Genomic DNA, 20,338 nt, shown 5'->3' with positions numbered 1-20,338 from the left:
GTGTTGTGCAGTGAGGTGATAAACAGATCCAGAGTGCTTCACCCAGCAACTCCACTCAACTTTTGTAATAGGTTGGATTTTGAGTTCCTGCAGAACAGGTAAGATGCCAGTCAACCTGGCCCTTGGTCCTTCACTCATGGGTCAGTCCAAGCATGTAGTACAATTATTCCTCCAGTGGCAAGTCAGCAAGAGGGGGCAGATGAGGTCAGCTACAGACAGGATAAGAGAAAGCAGGAGAAGCCTATTGTCCACCATTGCAATTTTAATTGGCTACATTTGAAGCTGGTAGGAATACAGACCACTGAGTGCCCTGGAGGAGGCAGTGCTTTAAGCCATTTTTGTTCAATCACTTCCTATGATTTAGTTTATTGGCTTAGTAGAAAACATTATGAGGGCCGGGTGTGATAGCTCACGCCTGTAATCCCAGCACTTTGGGAAGCCGAGGTGGGTGGATCACCTGAGGTCAGGAGTTCAAGACCAGCCTGACCAACATGGTGAAACCTTGTCTCTACTAAAAATACAAAATTAGCCAGGCATGGTGGCGGGCGCCTATAATCCAAGCTACTTGGGAGGCTGAGGCAGGAGAATCTCTTGAACCCAGGAGGTGGAGGTTGCAGTGAGCTGAGATCGCACTATTGCACTCCAGCCTGGGCAACAAGAGCGAAATTCAGTCAGAAAGAAAGAAAGAAAGAAAGAAAGAAAGAAAGAAAGAAAGAAAGAAAGAAAGAAAGAAAGAAAGAAAGAAAGAAAGAAAGAAAGAAAGAAAGAAAGAAGGAAGGAAGGAAGGAAGGAAGGAAGGAAGGAAGGAAGGAAGGAAGGAAGGAAGGGGAAAGAAAACATTATGGAATACTGAGTAAACAAGTTCAAGCAGGGCACAGTGGCTCACACCTGTAATCCCAGCACTTTGGGAGGCGGGCAGATCACGAGGTCAAGAGATCAAGACCATCCTGGCCAACATGGTGAAACCCTGTCTCTACTGAAAATACAAAAATTAGCTGGACGTGGTGGCACGTGCCTGTAGTCCCATCTACTCGGGAGGCTGAGGCAAGATAATCACTGGAACCCGAGAGGCGGAGGTTACAGTGAGCCGAGATCAGGCCACTGCACTCCAGCCTGGCCACAGAGTGAGATTCCGCCTCAAAAAAAAAAAAAAAAAAAAAAGTTCAGATGTGTGGGGAGGAAATAGGAAATGTCCTGGAATAGTGAGTGATGGATGAGTCTTATCGGGAAAAGCTTTAGGGGACTAGAGGTGGCGTAAAAGGACTGGGCCACATTTCAAGGGAGAGAAGGGATGCAGGGGTATTGTGGCCATTGCCTATTTCTTCTTTTTTTTTTTTTGAGACGGAGTCTCACTCTGTTGCCCAGGCTAGAGTGCAGTGGCATGATCTTGGCTCACTGCAACCTCTGCCTCCTGGGTTCAAGCTATTGTCCTGCCTCAGCCTCCCAAGTAGCTGGGATTACAGGCACGTGCCACCACGCCCGGCTAATTTTTTTGTATTTTTAGTAGAGATGGGGGTTTCACCACGTTGGCCAGGCTGGTCTCGAACTCCTGACCTCCGGTAATCTGCCTGCCTCGGCCTCCCAAAGGCCGAGGATTACAGGCTGGGGTTACAGGCACGTGCCACCACGCCCAGGTATGGCCATTGTCAAATCCTGTTTCTTTCTCACTCACCCAGACTGCAGACTAACACAGGTCTTGTCAGACAATCCCTTACCAGGCCGCTCCAACGCGAGGAAAGGTAAGGTAGGAAGAAGCTGCGTTTAGAGGGAGGGGACTTGTGGGAATGATGCACCAATAATACACAAAGGCTTCATTAGGGCACATCAATCCAGGAGTCCTTCACTTTATAGTGTCCTTTAGGAACTTCTCCTGGGACTGAATTCCTCTGGGCTAGGATAGTCTGAGCTTTAGGGCAGCCCAGGAACTTCTTGGAAGAAGTGAAAGGCTCTTGAGTCTGTCAGTATTTGTTTCCTTGCTCTTACATACACAGTGCAAGAGTGCATTCCCAATACATGCAACTCTTGAACTGTAACAATGATAATGATGGGTTGAAAGCTTACAATATTACAAATGTCTCTAGTTTCCCCAGAAATTTTTCTGTAATTTGCTTTCCGTTTCTCCGTTGATATTTTGAAACCCTTAAAGAAAAGCCACTTGCACACTGGATTTTGTTTCTGTTAGTATAGATCCTTCAAATGACAACCTAGTGACAAATGGAACTCTAGGACCTAAGATCCAGGATCTTACCCCTTCTCTCTCTCTCTTTTTTTTTCTTTTGAGACGGAGTCTTGCTCTGTCACCCAGGCTGGAGTGCAGTGGCACAGTCTTGGCTCACTGAAACCCCTGCCTCCTGGGCTGAAATCATCTGCCTCAACCTCCCGAGTAGCTGGGATTACAGGCGTGCACCACCATACCTGGCTAATTTTTGTGTTTTTAGTAGAAATGAGGTTTCATCATATTGGCCAGGCTGGTCTTGAACTCCTGACCCCAGGTGATCCACCCGCCTCAGCCTCCCGAAGTGCTGGGATTACAGTTGTGAGCCACTGCACCCGGCCCCCCTTCTCCTTTTGAATATTAATTCACAAGGCTTCTTCCTGTTGGCTACACCAAACAAAATTGTATCTATTCTGTTTTTGTTTTTGTTTTTGTTTTTGTTTTTGTTTTCCAGTTTAGAAAACATGGCCCTTTTAGCTGTAATTATATGGCTGGAAGAAGAAACAAAGTTGTGAGCTGCAATGGAGCTGAATGTTTTTGTCCCCCCACCAATCCCCCTCAAAAAACTCATAGGTTGAAATCCTAACCCCCAGTGTAATAGAAAATGGGGCTTTTGGGAGGTAATTAGGTCATGAGGGTAGAGCCCTCATGGAGGGATTAATGACCTTATAAAAGAGACTCCAGAAAGCTAGCTTGTCCTATTTCTGCCATGTGAGGACACAACAAGACAGTAGTCATGTGCAGCCCAGAAGAGGGTCCGCACCAGAACCCAACCATGCTGGGACCCTGATCTCAAACTGGCAACCTGCAGAACTCTAAGAAATGCCTCCTGTTTATAAGCCACCAGTTTATGGGACTTTGTTATAAGCAGCCCAAGCTAAGGCATATGGGCAATGAAAATATCAGAATTGTTTGAAACTTTAATCTATTGTAATAACTCCTTTCACATTGTGTATAATACGTCGGTTTAACAATATGTAATAAAATTTTAAAACAAGGCATCTATTCCAAGAATTAATTAATTATATTAATTGAACAGACACTTACTAATTCATTCAACAAATTGCTGAACACCTGATATGTGCCAGATATTTTTCTAGGTGCTGGAGATACAGCAGTGAAAACAAAGAGCAAACCCTGACCCTTGTGAAGTGAATTGTCAGGAGCTCAGCTGAGCTGGGAGAGAGAGAGCTCTCAGAGTAGCCGGTTACAGCAACAAGCCAGAGATAAAAGAACCGAGCCTTTAATCACTCACGGCAATGGTAAAAGCAAGAGCTTAAAGCAGTTTTATGGACCCTGAAGCAGGAGGGCAGCGGCGAGAGCTTGGAGTGGACAAGTCCTGGGTGATGAGTCAGAGTAGGGGAATGTATCATCAAGGTCTCCCTCCTCCCCGCATAAGGAGGTCTTGGCAAAGGCATCTGAAAAGGACGTCTACCCAAGGTCTGCCAGAGACTAGCAATGAAGACTCTGGGGCCAGGAATGTAAACATAGGAAAAGCATGACTGACCGGGAGAGCCTGAGTCCTTGACTGCAACTTCCTTCAGAGACCGTGACCCACTGGCTGTGCACCAAATGTCTCTCAGAGAGCAGCAGCTTTCTGTATGAGGTCTGCCAGGTAAGGCCTTCGTAATTGCCTGTAGTCAGGTCTGAAAGATCACACATTTGGCTTAAGCAAAAGCCAGACTCCTCACTAACATTCTAGATAATAAATATTCAAGCCAAATATATGCTATATTAGTGGTAAGTGCTGACAAAAAAGGTAAATAAATAAATAAGCAAGCAAGCTGGGAAGGCAGATAGGGAGTAAATGAGAGTTAGGGAGTACAAGTGTGATAGCAATTTGAGTCAAAGGCAGGCAAACGAGGCTTCATTGTAAAGGTGGCATTTGGTGAAACACTTCAGAAATTGAGACTTGCAGCTACCCAAGAGAAGAGCAGGTCAATCAGAGGGTACAAGAGGTAAAAATTTCAGGAGGTGGAAGTCCGTTTGTCTAGAGTGGAGCAAGCAAAGGGAGAGGGGCAGGGGTGATGGAGACAGAGAGCTAATGAGGCACCAGGTCTTGCAGGGCCCTGTAGCCACTGCAAGAACATGAACTTTTTCTCTGGGTGAGACGGGAAGCCACTGAGGACTTTGCAGAAATAACATGCTCTGACTCTAGATGCCCTCCTGAGAATAGATTTGGGAGAGAAGAGGAGAGGATGTTAAGGACAGAAGCAGGGAGATCTGTTAGGAGACTACTGTAATAATCCAGGAAAGAGATGATGTGGGTTTGGACCAGAGAGATGAGACTGGAAGTAGGGAGAGCTGGTTGGATTTTTGGAGATATATATATATATATATATATATATATATATATATTTTTTTTTTTTTTTTTTTTTTTTTTGAGACGGAGTCTTGCTCTATCGCCCAGGCTGGAGGGCAGTGGCACGGTCTCGGCTCACTGCAACCTCTGCCTCCTGGGTTCAAGCAATTCTCTGCCTCAGCCTCCCGAGTAGCTGGGATTACAGGTGCCTGCCACCATGCCTGGCTAATTTTTGTATTTTTAGTAGAGACAGGGTTTCACCATCTTGGCCAGGCTGGTCTTGAACTTCTGACCTTGTGATCCACCCGCCCTGGCCTCCCAAAGTGCTGGGATTACAGGCGTGAGCCACCATGCCCGGCCTTTTTGGATATATTTTTAATACAGTGCCCCCCATTTCATTAATTCTAAACATGTTTCCCTCCTTACATCTTAACATATCTAAAATCAGATTGCATCTTATATTGGGATGGCATTCTATAATCGCTGTCAAGCAGGTGGCAGCTGTGATGTAGTTGTCTATTAGTTGAAAACCTTCCAGTGATACTATCTGGTAATTGCCAGCATCAATTCATAATGCAGATATGTTGTGACAAATCCAGGTTTTATGTCATTAAATTTCAAAGCTTAATATATTTGCTCAGAAACCTATCATAAAGGTGGCTTCTCTGCTTACGTTCATGAACAATACCTTTTTTGTAAACCTCATCCCTTTTGCTCCAAAGCTGATCCTGTCGCTCAGTGTGTATGTCTCTGACGCAGTGTGGCACTGCAGGATTCATCCCAACCTTGACAGCTTCATATATGACCGTCACAGTCGGCCTCTCATTACATCTTCAGCCTCATTTCCCACCACTCTCTAACTTCATATTTTCTGCTCAGGTTTGCAGTCAATGCTCAGTTTCCTGTGAGACCAGGACCTTGTCCCAGCTGTACACTTTTCCAGTTGTTTTTGTTTTGTTTTGTTTTGTTTTTGAGAGGGAGTCTCGCTCTGTCACTCAGGCTGGAGTGCAGTGGCGTGATCTCGGCTCACTGCAACCTCTGCCTCCCAGGTTCAAGTGATTCTCCTGCCTCAGCCTCCCGAGTAGCTGGAACTACAGGTGAGCACCACCACACCCGGCTAATTTTTTTGTATTTTTAGTAGAGACGGGGTTTCACCGTGTTAGCCAGGATGGTCTCAATCTCCTGACCTCATGATCCACCCGCCTCGGCCTCCCAAAGTGCTGGGATTACAGGCGTGAGCCACTGCACCCAGCCTCCAGTTATTTTATCTGTCTTTCTCCCATTGGCTATTATCCTTAAAGATCCAGCTCAGATGACACCTCTTTTGTGAAACTTTTTTGACCCTCCAAACAGACTTTCGGCATCCCCTGAACACAGTGCAGCTTCAACAACACCGGTTTGAACTATCCTCGTCCACTTATATACGAGTTTTTGTCAATAAATATAGTCGACCCTCCTTATCCTCAGGTTCCACATCCACAACCAAAAGAGGACGAAAAATACAGTGTTCTAATGTGAAACCTACGATACAGAGGGCCAGTCTTCATACAGGTAGTTTCCCCAGGGCCAACTGCAAGACTTGGGTATGCCTGGATTTTGCCTTCATAATTGCCTGTAGTCAGACCTGAAAGATCTGCAGCGGTCCTAAAACCAATCCCCCCAAGAATACTGAGGGACAACTGTAATATACTTGGCATAGAACAGTTATGCAGTATTTGTAAGTATCTGTTTTTATTATATTGGATTTGATGAACCACAGTTTCCTGTTCTGCAAAATGTAGATAGTAATAGTAAATAGCATGAAGATGTTTTAGATGTTTTGAAGATTACTTAAAATAATACATACAAGCAGGCCAGGCACAGTGGCTCACACCTGTAATTCCATCACTTTGGGAGGCCAAGGCAGGCGGATCACTTGAGGTCAGGAGTTTGAGACCAGCCTGGCCAACATGGCAAACCCCCATCTCTACTAAAAATACAAAAATTAGCCAGGCATAGTGGCACACACCTGTAATCCCAGCTACTTGGGAGGCTGAGGCAGGAGAATTTCTTGAACCCAGGAGGTGGAGGTTGTAGTGAGCCGAGATCATGCTGCTGTACTGCAGCCTGGGCAACAGGGCAAGACTCGGTCTCAAAAACAAACAAACACAAAACAAAAAAAAGTACAAGCAAGAATAATGTTTAGTACTTAAGTGCTCAGTAAATGTTTGCTTTTTTTCTTTTTTTGACACAGGGTCTCACTCTGTTACCCAGCCTGGAGTGCAGTAGTATGATTATAGCTCCCGGCAACCTCGAACTCCTCGGCTCAGGTAATCCTCCCACCTCATCCTCCTAAGTAGCTAGAATTACAGGTGCATGCCATCATGCCCAACTAAATTTTTAATTTTTAATTTTTATAGAGATGGGAGTCTCGCTATGTTGCCTAGGCTGAGTTCAAATTTCTGGCCTCAAAAGATCCTCCTGCCTAGGCCTCCCAAAGTGCTAGGATTATAGGCATGAGCCACCAGGCCTGGCCATGCTTTTAAAAATTTGTATTACACTATGAATACTAATACATTTTAAATGATCATATTTTAGCCCCATGTGGAAATAGTAACATCTATTTTTAAGCCTTAGATTTGTCTCATCACAGAAACTTCTAGTGTATTCAATGAAAAAGAAAAAAGCAATAAAAAGAGGAGATAACCCCATTTCATTTTTCTCTTGGTGCTAAAGTGCTGCGATCTATGATTGTATGAAGATTCTAAATATAGATGCTGATGACCCAAAAGCTCTTCTCAAATTTCATTTTTTTTCTAATAGCTTCTGAAAAATACTCCCAGGAGTATCAACTCTTGGTGTCAATCAGGTAGTTTGTGCAATTTACAGTAGTTCATTGCATTCAATCATAATGACTTTATCTTACAAGTCCTTTCATGTCTAGTCTGCCTTGGCCATGATAAATACATCATTTAATTATTTAGTCTCTTTTCTAACAACAATCTTGTCTCACTGCAACCTCTGCCTTCCAGGTTCAAGCGATTCTCCTGCCTCAGCCTCCCAAGTAGGGGGGACTACAGGCGTGCACCACTACTCCTGGGTAATTTTTGTTTTTTTAATAGAGACAGGGTTTTACCATGTTGGCCAGGCTGGTCTCGAACTCCTGACCTCAGGTGTTCCGCCTGCCTCGGCCTGCCAAAGTGCTGGGATTGACAGGCATGAGCCACCACGCCTGCCTAGATAAGCAATTTAATGCATTGGTTAAGTCACTAAAATAGACATTATTGCACTGGGTCTGTGTTCATTCTATAATGCATGACTCTGAATAAGACTTTGACAACTTCTTCCATCCATGACTTAGGAGTTTTCCTGATTGCTACGTTAACATTAATGAATGCTATGGTTTGAATTTTTGTCCCCTCTAAAACTCGTATTGAAATTTATTTTTTAAATTTGTTTTTGTTTTCATGTTGAAATTTAATTGCCATCGCAACAGTGTTAAGAGGTAGAATCTTGAAGAGGCGATTAGGTCACAAGGGCTATATCCTCACTGGTGGGATTGGTGCCATTATAAAAGGGCAAGTTTGGCCTCCTCTGTCTGTCTGTTTCTCTCCCTCTGCTCTTGCCCTCTCACCTCCCACCATATGGTAACACAGCAAGAAGCCCCTTGCCAAATGCTGGCACCTTGATATTGGACTTTCCAGCCTTCAGAACTACAAGCCAATCAATTTCTGTTTATTATAAATTACCCAGTCTTAGAGCTGGGCACAGCAGCAGGTGCCTGTAGTCCCAGCTACATAGAAGGTTGAGGTGGAAAGAGTCTCTTAAGCCCAGGAGTTCCAGGATTTAGTGTACAATGATCACACCTGTGAATAGCCACTGCACTCCAGCTTGGGCCACATTGGGAACTCTGCCTCTAAATTTTAAAAGAATAAAGTAGAAATAAATAAATCACCTCGTGTATTAGTCTGTTCTCAAACTGTTAAGAAAGATATATCTGAGACTGGGTAATTTATAAAGGAAAGAGGTTTAATGGACTCACAGTTCCACATGGCTGGGGAGGCCTCACAATCATGGCAGAAAGCAAAGGAGAAGCAAAGAGACGTCTTACGTGGTGACAGGCAAGAGAGAGCTTGTGCCAGGGAACTCCCATTTGTAAAACCATCAGATCTTGTGAGACTTATTCACTATTAGGAGAGCAACATGGGAAAGACTCTCTGCCATGATTCAATTACCTCCCACCCGGTGACTCCCATGTGGAAATTATGGGAGCTGCAATTCAAGATGAGATTTGGGGGACACAGCCAAACTGTATCACCCAGTCTCAGGCATTTTTGTAGCAGCACAAAATAGACTAAGATAATACAATTTTAACATGTGATTATTAAATTCCCCTAGGGAATTTTTTTTTTTTTTTTTTTTTGAGACAGAGTCTCACTCTGTCACCCAGGCTGGAGTGCAGTGGCGCGATCTCAGTTCACTGCAACCTCCACTGCCCAGGTTCAGCAATTTTGCTGTCTCAGCCTCCCGAGTAGCTGGGATTACATGGGCTCACCACCACGGCCGGCCAATTTTTGTACTTTTTTTTTTTTTTTGAGACGGAGTCTCGCTCTGTCACCCAGGCTGGAGTGCAGTGGCGCGATCTCGGCTCACTGCAAGCTCCACCTCCTGGGTTCACCCAATTCTCCTGCCTCAGCCTCCCGAGTAGCTGGGACTACAGGCACCTGCCACCACACCTGGCTAATTTTTTGTATTTTTAGTAGAGATGGGATTTCACCGTGTTAGCCAGGATGGTCTCCATCTCCTGACCTCGTGATCTGCCTGCCTCGGCCTCCCAAAGTGCTGGGATAACAGATGTGAGCCACGGCGCCCGACCAGTTTTTGTACTTTTTAGTAGAGACAGGGTTTCACCATGTTGGCCAGGCTGGTCTCGAACTCCTGACCTCAAGTGACCCGCTCGTCTCGGCCTCCCAAAGTGCTGGGATTACAGGCATGAGCCACCCTGCCCGGCCTCCCCTAGGGATTTTAAATAAAATTCTTCCAAAACTTCATCTTGACTGGTGCACTATTGTTCTTGATACTTACGATGGTGCTCCTCCTCTTCATTCTTTCTCTTGTTTGGGTCCCTGAGAAACTGTAGAGTTTATTGGGTAAGTGAAAGTGTTGTATACATGTATTATTTTCAAATTAGTGTAATAAACCCGAGATGTAAAGTACACTTGGGGCATTTTCTTTCTTTTTCTTTCTTTTCTTTTTTTTTCTTTCTTTCGAGACAGAGTCCCCCTCTGTCCAGGCTGGAGTGCAGGAGCACGATCTCAGCTCACTGCAACGTCTGCCTCCCAGGCTGAAGCTATTCTGGTATGTTTCTAATCTCCCCTTTCCTCCCTCTCCTTCTTACTGATGACCTTGATTCATGATTCACAAAAAAAAGAAGCAAACAAGCACTCTCTCATCTCTCTAGCATTCTGAATTGGGACCCATTCTTTCTATAGGAGAAAGTGTCTCTGCTCCTAGTTAAGGCTAACCCTTCACTTCTACTCTGGATCTTACCTCCTTGTAACTTATGAAGGACTTTACTCCTACAAATCGACCTTTCTCTCTTGCATTCTTGATTTCCCTCTCCAGGGGATTGTATTCACCAGCAAATAAACTTGCTCCTGATTTCCCATTCCTGTCTAGCTGCTGAATGAATGGTTTTCCCCATGACATCACCTGTTCTCTCACCTCAATCCATTTCAATTAGACTTCTGTCCTCCCCACTACATCTGAAACTTCTAAGAGATTAGCCAGTGACCTTCATGTCACCAAATACAATGGTCACTTTTCTGATTTCGTCTTAACACCTCAGCTGCCTTTGTCCCAAGTGACCACTTTCTACCTCTTGAAACTCTTTCTTATCTTGGCTTACATAATACCCCACTCTCCTGATTTTTTTTAATAGCACTGTCTACTTATTGACTGCAGGATAGTAACTCTCAAATGTATATATCTATATTAGGCCATTCTTGCGTTACTATAAAGAAATACCTGAGACTGGGTAATTTACAAAGAAAAGAGGCTTGTGGTTCTGTAGTCTGTACAGGAAGCATAGTGGCATCCACTTCTAGGGGAGGCCTCAGGAAACTTGCAATCATAGCAGAAGGCAAAGGGAGAGCAGGAACATCACACGATGAGAATGGAGCAAGAGAGGGGAGGGAGGGGCTGCATGCATGTTCAACAACCGGATCTTGTAAGAATTCACTCACTACCACAAGAACAGCACCAACAAGATGGTGCTAAACCATTTCTGAGAAAAATCCGCCCCCATGACCCAATCACCTCCCACCAGTCCTGACTTCCAACATTGGGGATTACAGTTCAACATGAGATTTGGGTGGGGACACAGATCCAAACTATATCAATATCAAACTGTAATCTTCCCCAGAGTCGCATCCCCTGTATCTAAATACTACTTGGCATCTGTACTTGGGTGTCTAATTAGCATCTCATACCAAACTGTATATTATGATCATCTTTCAGTGTAAATGAATATACATTTAGAATCCTGTTGCTCTTTCCTCTGCCTCATACTCTCTCCCCCTATCCTTTGCCTTCATTTCCTGCCCCTATTCCTAGACCAGCCCCCAGTACATTAGGTCCCTTGATGATTTCATAACACCTAATAGTTTTCTCTCTGAGTAATTATCCCACTTATAGTCAATTAGTCAGATTATGTCTTTTACGTCAAACTTCCTTCTTTGGCCTCTATGATCCCTGAAGCCAGAAATTTGCTGCATTGTTTACTGTATCCTCAAGGCTCAACACAGTACTTTACACATATTTGGAGCTCAATACATTTTTTTGTTTTATAAGAAAGAATAAAGAGGCCTGTGAGGTAGCTCATGCCTGTAATCCCAGCACTTTGGGAGGCCCAGGTGGGTGGATCATTTGAGGTCAGGGATTTGTGACCAGACTGGCCAACATGGTGAAACCCTGTCTGTACTAAAAATACAAAAATTAGCCAGTTGTGGTGGTGCATACCTCTAATCCCAGCTACTTGGGAAGCTGAGGCAGGAGAATTGCTTGAACCCGGGAGGTGGAGGCTGCAATGAGCTGAGATCACGCCACTGCAGTCTAGCCTAGGTGACAGAGTGAAACTCTGTCTCAGAAAAAAAAAAAAAAAAAAAAAAAAAAGAATAAAGAAATGGATACTCTCTACATAACTTTTAACAGTTACATAGCATTGGTTTAGGGATATACTATAATTTAGTAAATAAATTTGTCTCTTTGTATATCTAGGTTGTTTTCTATTTTTCACTATTATAATCACTTCTACAATGAACATCCATGTAGCTAAATCTTTGGCTCATATTTACTCATGTGCTTAAGTAAATCACTAGAAATAGAATCACTGGTTTAACAGTGAAGTATACATTTTCAAGGCTCTTGCTATAGGGTGGTAGTCTGCAAAGTTGAACACCATTAACTCCTCTCTTCCCTGTACAAGCAAGCCACTCATCCCATCAAAAGGTGATGTCACTCCCTTATCCCTGGATGACTTGCCTGTAGAATATGGTGGAAGTAGGGCCACCAAATAAAATACCCAGTTATAATATTGTGATATAATAAGATATATATATTTGGTCTTCATCCCCAGTTTCTGGCACATAGCTCTTAAAACCTTTGGAAATTTCTTATAGAGGAAAAGGAGCGTCTTTTGTAAGGGAAAAGACTTTTGGAAAGCCCTAGAATGAGGAGCTGTTTGTCAAGGGAACTAACCAGGTGATTGAGGCTTGAACAAGTTGGACCCTTCAGCTCATCCTCTGACCTGCAAAGAAGGGAGAGGGGCTAGAGATTGAGTTCAATCACCAACGGCCAATGATTTCATTAATTATGCTATGGCAATGTGATGGACCTCCATGAGAACCCTATGTGGCAGGGTTTTGGAGAGCTTTCAGGTTGATGAACACATGGAGGTGCTAGGAGAGTGGTAACCCAGAGAGGACATAGAAGCTGCATACCCCACCTCTATACCTTGTCCCATGCATCTGTCAACTGAAGAATGATGAGGTTCATAAATTTGTAAAGGAGAGCTTTATTCTTTATAAAGGGTTGCAGCCTGAGGGTGGCTATTCTGGCAGGCTGAGAAATGTAGCCTCTGGGCAGAAGCTGGAAACAGACATTTTGAGGGAGTGGCAAAAGGAACATGAATTTATGCTGAGCAGGGTGGCTGAATATACATATTTAATAAGTTATAGGAGGAGACATGAATATTTATGAAAGGAGAAATGTGTGCATGCACAATTGAGCTTCATGTCCCTTCATGGGATCCCTGTTCAAAAAAATGGCCTCATTAGCATAATCTGAGGATGGAGTTTTCAGCCCTCTTATGTCAAAAGGTGAAGCACGGGACATGAAAACCCTTATTGTGCATTCTCCATAGACTGGCCAGAACCACTCCGTTGTCAGTGGTGTCTTATCAGGAAGGAAGGCTGGTCAGTTGCTTTGTCAAAATCCAAAAAGGGAGGAGCAGTGTCAGATGGTTGGTTGAAATCAGTGGTGCAAAGAGTCTTTTGAAAGGGTTGGTTTCTGTTTAACCCTTAGGGAAGAAAGCCTAACGGCAGCTAGCAAGGAAGGGGGTATAATGAGATGTGTCCTATCTCCCATCGAGTCATCGCTAGAAACTCAATTTTCAAGGTTTCTTGGGGGTACTCTTGGCCAAGAGGGGGTCCATTTTGTTGGTTGGAGGGATTAGGATTTTATTTTATTTCTCACATCTCTTCCATCTGTTTATATATATATCCTTTAAAATTTCTTTTGTAATAAATCAGGAATAGTAAATAAGCTTTCCCTAGGTTTGTGAACCATTCTAGCAAATTATTGTAACTGCCCAATGGGTGCACAGATAAAATCAACTCACTGAGACTTCAGCATTGCAGTAGGTGGAGTTATTACTCAAATCAGTCTCCTCAAAGGCTCAGAGTTAGGGTTTTTCAAGGATAGTTTGGTGTTGGGGGCTAGGGAGTGGGGAATGTTGATTGGCTGAAGATAAGGTGATATGGGTGTGGCCTTTGGGTGAGGGCCATGGACCCCATGGTTAGGGTGGATAAGAAATGCAAAAGTCTGCTGGGTGCAGTGGTTCATGCCTGTAATTCCAGCACTTTGGGAGGCCGAGGCAGGCGGATTACTTGAAGTCAGGAGTTCAAGACTAGACTGGCCAACATGGTGAAACCTAGTCTTTACTAAAAATACAAAAATTAGCCGGGCGTGGTGGCAGGCAACTGTAATCCCAGCTACCTGGGAGGCTGAGGCAGGAGAATTGCTTGAACCCAGGATGCGGAGGTTGCAGTGAGCTGAGATCGTGCCACTGCACTCCAGCCTAGTCAACGGAGTGAGACCCCATCTCAAAAAACAAACAAAAAAACAAACAAACAAAAAAAGAAATGCCAAAGTCTGAAAAGACATCTCAAAAACCAATCTTAGGATCTACAATACAATACAATAGTGATGTTATCTACAGCAATAATTGGGGAGGTTACAAATCTTGTGACCTATGGAGCAATGGCTGGTTATTGTTTATGCTTACATCTTAGCAGAATTCAGGCCTCTCTCATAACCATAACCTTGTGGACTTTCATTAGTTTTACAAAGGGGGTTTAGTTTTGGGAAAGGCTATTATCATCTTTAAGGTTAAGCTATAAACTAAATTCCTCCTAAAGTTATCTTGGCCTACACCCAGGAATAACCAAGTACAGTTTGGAGGTTAGAAGCTAGCTGAAGCACACTATGTCAGATTGCTCTTACTCTCATAATTTTGCAAAGGTGGTTTCATTATTGAACCTGAAGAGGTGGTTGTGGGAGCCTTTGATTTGTAGCCAAGTCATACAGAAGTTGTGGATAAGTGCCCATCACTTGTGATTGGCATCTGAAGTGTGGGTGGATGGGGGTGGTTTTGTGGGACTGAGCCCTTAAGCTATGGGGTTTGCACTAACTCTGGGCAGTTAGTGTCAGAATTGAGTTAAATGGTAGGATGCAGCCAGGCGCAGTGGCTCACGCCTGTAATCCCAGCACTTGAGAGGCAGAGGAGGGCAGATCACCTGATGTCAAGAGTTCGAGACCAGCCTGGTCAACATGGCAAAACCCCATCTCTACCAAAAATACAAAAATTGGCCTGGTGTAGTGGGGGAGGCCTGTAATCCCAGCTACTCAAGATGCTGAGGGAGGAGAATCGCTTGTACCTGGGAGGCAGAAGTTGCAGTGAGCTGAGGTCGTGCCATTGCACTCCAGCCCGGGCAACAAGAGTGAAACTCCATCTCAAAAAAAAAAAAAAAAGAAATTGTAAGATGCTCAGTCAATGTACACTAAGAATTGAGGAATTGGTTGATGTGCGGAAACAAAAAACCCATACATTTGGTGTCAGAAGTGTTGTGTGAGTAGCACAGAAAAATAGTTTTTTCTTTTACCAGTTAAATTTGAATATCAAGTAAACAGAAAATTGGGACATACTTATACTAAAAAAAAATTTGTTGTTTATTTGGAATTCAAATGTACCTGGGCATTCTGTATTATTATTTATTAAATCTGGCAACCCTAGGTATGATGACACTCTTCTAGTTCTAGGGGTAGCCTTAAGAGGCCTGGCAGTTTCTCCTTTTGCCCTCCAGAAGCCAGCCACTATGCTATAAAGAACTTTGGGCTGGACTACTGAATGAAGAGAGGTCACCTGGAGAAGCCCTAGAAGATGAGAAGTGATTTTATATATTCCAGCTGCAACTGAATGGAACGTCTGTTGTGGGTTTCCTTTCCCTTTCTAACTATTGCATTCCTGGTGGGGATGAGGGAGTTAGGGGTATCTGGGGAGGATCAGAAAACAGTTTACAGGTCTTTAGATCCAGGAAAGCTGTACCAGAGGAGCTACATCCACATCTGGACATATAACTGATCGTGAATATTGGGCCTGATGCTTTGATAGGATAAGACTTTGCAGTATGTTGGGAGGGGTTGAAAGAATGTAAATAATTCATTGCCAGAGGGCAGACTGTCGTTGACTCAAGATGGTCATGGTTTTATTGCCACTTCTCTGAACAAGAGACAGAGTCTATTTGCCGCCACCCCCACCCTCTCATGAACTCTGGGCTGGCCTTGTGACTTGCTTGGACAAACAGAAGGCAACAAAGTTGCCGTGTGACTTTCAGACAATAGTGTTCTGGAAAACCAGATCTATAAAAAAATTTGTTAAAGCCCTAATTTAGATCACTTGCCTATTTCTGTGGTGTAAATACTCCCACCACGGCTGATTTCAAGCTATCAGCGTGATATCACCGACCATGGAGTTGGGAATAGACAAGCACAGCTGGCTTTCAGGAGCCTGTGCAAATTGGCTCCAGCATGTCACCACTCTCAGACCTTGTCCTTGAGAAGCTCTGTCAGCTTCCATTTTTGCTTCCTTGAAATCCACCCAACATGAAGGATCTTCAAGATAGGCTCATGAATGATGAGAGGCCGAATGGAAAGAAAGGACAAGTAGAAAAGGAAGGAGCCTTAGGCATTCTTGCCTCAAACTGGCTCCCAGCTAAGTACAGCTGTATTAGGGACCCTGGCCAACATTACATGGAGCAGAAGACCACCTCACCAATCCAGAGAAATATGAGAAATAATAAATTGTTGTGCATTGAAGCCACTATATTTTGGAGTGGTTCTTTTTTTTTTTTTTTTTAAGATGGAGTCTTGCTCTTGTCACCCAGGCTAGAGTGCAATGGCACGATCCCGGCTCACAGCAACCTCCGTCTCCCAGGTTCAAGTGATTCTCCTGCCAAAGCCTCCTGAGTAGCTGGATTACAGGTGCCTACCACCATGCCCAGCTAATTTTTGTATTTTTTTAGTAGAGACGAGGTTTCACCATGTTGGCCAGGTTGGTCTCGATCTCCTAACCTCGTGATCCACCTGCCTCAGCCTCCCAAAGTGCTGGGATTACAGGCATGAGCCACCACGCCCAGCCTGGAGTGGTTCTTAAATTAGCAATAAAATGAAACATATATTGCCAAGCTGTCATTAAATAAAGCTGTATCAAGTTTTACTCCCTTTAGCAATGCATAGGAGTGCCTTATTCTTTCAACAGAAGCCCACACTGTGAATTACCATCACCAGTTTGACAAATTAAAAAATACGTGCGTTGCAGTTTAATATGCATTTCTTTGAAAATGAGTTTGAACATTTTTTCATATGCTTATTAGTCATAAACTGATTGTACCCTCAGTCCATTTTTCTATTGATTTATAGGAGCTTTTACTATTTTAATAATAGTAATAATAAATGGAGGATAATTTGCAATATGTATGACTACATAGTTTACTTGTGTGTTCTTTGCAGTAAAGAGCTTAAACGATTGGTATAAAAATGATGCCTGGCTAGAAAATTTTCTGAGTGTTTCTTATAACGCCATCATATCCAGTTTTGAGTTTGTTCATTTTTAGCATTTCTTAAATTATTTTGAATAGTTTCCTTGGATTTTCTCTACTGGTGATTTTCTTCAATGGAATCTTCAGCTGAAACCCAGTACAAAACACATCTCCCCTGCCACTTTAATTTGAACACCACTGGCTCAAGCCACTGTAGTAGGCTAATTCTTCAACTACTCTTTTGTTCAAACCAACGAAAAGTCTTTGATACGTAGCGCAATTACATTTCATACCAATTTAAATTTCGCAAATTGGAAACAGCGCTATATAAAAATGTTATTAGTTTGTGCAAATTATAAATAATGTGAATTCTCCTTAAACCAAAAGTACTAAAATTGGATTGGATTCTAGAACCAAAACAAAAAAAGATGCATTAATGGGAAAGCAGAAAAATTAGAAAAACTCAAATAAGATCTAGAGTTCAGTTAACTTTATCAATGTTGTTTTCTTAGTTTTGACAAATGTACCTGGGTAATGTAAAATATCAGCAACAGGGAAAACTGGGTGAAGGAATATGTGGAAATTCTCTATACTGTGTTTGCAACTTGTCTATAAGTCTAAAATTATTCCAAAATGAGAAGTTTATTTTTTTAAGCATTTAAATATTTGCTCTAAGAAATGTTATACAGTGTTATAGGCCTATGTGTTCTAAGAATACTTTTCCTCATGTTATATTTATTCCTCTGGAGGAATACATTGTCTAGAATTAGGCAAGTTTGGAGTTATATGAGGTTTTCAGGACCTTATCTCCTGAATATAATTACTGCCATGTAAATTATATATTCACATCCCATTTTGAAAACCAAAATAGGAATAACTAAAGATCAAAGACTGACTCATAATTTTTTAAAAATTTTTTTGAGATGGAGTCTCACTCTGTCACCCAGGCTGGAGTACACTGGTGCGATCTTGGCTCACTGCAGCCTCTGCCTCCCGGGTTCTGTGGGAGCAATTCTGAGGTAGCGATTCTCCTACCTCAGCCTCCAGAGTAGCTGGGATTACAGGTGTGTGTCACCACGCCCTGCTAATTTTTGTGTTTTAGTAGAGACGGGGTTTCACCATGTTGGCCAGGGTGGTCTCAAACCCCTGGCCTCGAGTGAGCCGCCCGCCTCAGCCTCCCAAAGTGCTGGGATTACAGGCCTGAGCCACCGTGCCCAGCCCTCTGAATCATAAACTAAAAGAAATCCTTCCTCTCAATAAAAACCAAAAACAAAACCCAAACTCTCTCTTTTCCAGTTTCTGACATTGGAATTGCGGCAGTAAAGCCTTATCACGCTATGGTGATCTTCAGACTAGCATGTGAGTGGAAATCTGGCTTTAAGTGTGGAATCTGGACATAAGGTCCCAGGTAGGGCTTTTTGTCTACCTCTAAGAGGCAGAAGTGTAAGCACATAAATCCAAACTTGCAGCCACAATCATAAATCTTTACGAGAAATTGGGCTTTGCTCATGAAGTTGGTAAGGAGACCCTCTTGTCCCGTGCTTTTGTATTCTCCTCTCCCATCACAGCAAGTGTCTTGGGAATGAAGGAAGGGGTTTTAGTTTAGTGTTTTGCATTCCTCTGTTTGTTTCTTTGCAGATAAAATGTGTCTTTTTATGGGCTTCCCAGTTGTAAAAGAAATTCCAATAATTTAAGTTCTGGGTGTTTCAGGTTTTACAGTTCCGACTGTTTCCCCTCTACTTAGAGTATATATTTCCGAATACTATGATACACTCCCCTGTGCCTCATTTCTTATACAGATGATAGCCACTGATATTGAGTGGCCTCTGAATAAACAGTGCAGTCATATTTTGCACTAATTTGAATTAGCAAATTCGAAACAGTGAGAGATGAAAAATATTATTAAAGTCTCACTTTATGCACACAAGTTGAAATAATGTAAATTCCTCACACTAAAATTTGTTCATTCTGCATTAAATAGTAAGTTTGTTATAAGAAATGCACTACAATGCCCTAGGTTTATGTGCACGGAGGCTATTTCTTGCATTACATTCATTCTTAAGGGAAAAATCTGTCTGAAATTATGCGTATTTTGAGTTATGTGAGGTTTTCAGAAGCCCTTCCTAGAGTGAGTCTGGAGTAACTTGGGTGATTTAACTCCCCCAGTGGGAATCTGTTTTATTATTGTTACTGATGTGATTTCTAATGGCAAAAGTTATTGATTGCTTAGTCCTATGCCCAGTACTGTACTGAATACCTGTATGATGTACTTAACAATGTATATTATTCCATCACATCTATGAGGCAGGTATTATTACTTTCATTCTATAAATGAAAAATTGTATGCTTGGTAAATTTAAGTAACTTCTTCTTCTTCTTCTTCTTTGTTTTTTTTCTCACACAGAATCTCACTCTGTTGCCCAGGTTGGAGTGCAGTGGTGCAATCTTGGCTCACTACAACCTCTGCCCTCTTGGTTCAAGTGATTCTCCTGCCTCAGCCTCCCTAATAGCTGGGATTATAGGTGCCTGCCACCACATCTGGCTGATTTTTGTATTTTTTTAAATAGAGATGGGATTTCACCATGTTGGTCAGCCAACTCCTGACCTCAGCCTCCCAAAGTGCTGAGATTACAGGTGTGAGCCAGTAACTTCTATCCAAGGGATTATCTTTGGATTTAAGGCTGGAATCTAAATCCCTTATTTAGGGCTGGAATGAAGATTTTTTTTTTCTCTGCAAATTCTAATACTTTTGCTAACTAACTCAGTATAAAATGTTTACCATGCATCAGTTATTTCAACCCTGTAGAAAAGTAGATAGGTCTTTGCTTTTGTAATCATGGTCTTTCAATACTAAATTTTGATTTTGCTTCTTGATTCCTAAGTCACTGCTAAGTCACCTTTCAAGAAAGCAGCCTCATCCTGTTGAGGTTATTAAGAGACTGATGCAGCAAACCAGTAACTCTGGAATTGCCAGGACTGGAGAAGCTGTTTGACAATTTTTTGTTAGCTTGCTTGTTGTTGCTTGTTTCTTTTGTTGTGGGAAATTTTCCATATCAATTGAAACTGCTCAAAATCTTTTTCTAATGGGTTCTATGTGCCACTTCTTTAAACAACAGTGTCACTAATCAGTATTTCCCCTCCTCCTAGGGGTGGTTGATATTGTTAAGACAAAATGAAAAAGGGTACTTGTAGGGGGAGGGTACAGTTTGTTGTTGTTATTGTTGCTGTTTGCTTTACAAATATTTATGCTTTTTGAGTTAAAAAAAAAGGTAAATCTACTCACAGAGGCAGTTTGGTTCCTACTCATCTGAGGCATTCTATGGCCTATGATGTACTTTCCCTTACTAAATCCTTCAATGTGGAGAGACAGAGTAGCCCCGGGACAAGGAAGAAACTAAATCTTTTTAATATCTTCCAATCTCTGGGCGCAGAATGGAGGAAGAATGGACCTAGAATGGAGGAAGA

At 42.7% G+C, this 20,338-nt stretch overlaps 1 long non-coding RNA gene across 1 annotated transcript, besides 2 other annotated features; it reads left to right on the top strand.

Annotated features, from left to right (window-relative positions):
• Positions 1-2,864: 2,864 nt before the first annotated feature.
• Positions 2,865-18,814, top strand: LOC105373570 (uncharacterized). The gene is made up of 3 exons (XR_923227.4): positions 2,865-3,830; positions 6,751-6,826; positions 18,170-18,814. It is a non-coding gene; the product is annotated as an uncharacterized LOC105373570 (long non-coding RNA).
• Positions 3,284-3,783: an enhancer, noted in NCBI's record as "H3K27ac hESC enhancer chr2:114576059-114576558 (GRCh37/hg19 assembly coordinates)". NCBI's record gives its function as "activates a minimal SCP1, AML or CMV promoter by ChIP-STARR-seq in primed H9 embryonic stem cells {active_cell/tissue: H9 hESC(primed)}" and the evidence as "EXISTENCE:reporter gene assay evidence [ECO:0000049][PMID:30033119]".
• Positions 3,784-4,285: an enhancer, noted in NCBI's record as "H3K27ac hESC enhancer chr2:114575557-114576058 (GRCh37/hg19 assembly coordinates)". NCBI's record gives its function as "activates a minimal SCP1, AML or CMV promoter by ChIP-STARR-seq in primed H9 embryonic stem cells {active_cell/tissue: H9 hESC(primed)}" and the evidence as "EXISTENCE:reporter gene assay evidence [ECO:0000049][PMID:30033119]".
• Positions 18,815-20,338: the final 1,524 nt, after the last annotated feature.

The sequence above is a fragment of the Homo sapiens genome, chromosome 2 (assembly GCF_000001405.40).
Source record: "Homo sapiens chromosome 2, GRCh38.p14 Primary Assembly".
NCBI lineage: Eukaryota > Metazoa > Chordata > Mammalia > Primates > Hominidae > Homo > Homo sapiens.
This window is presented reverse-complemented; position numbering and strand designations above follow the sequence as displayed.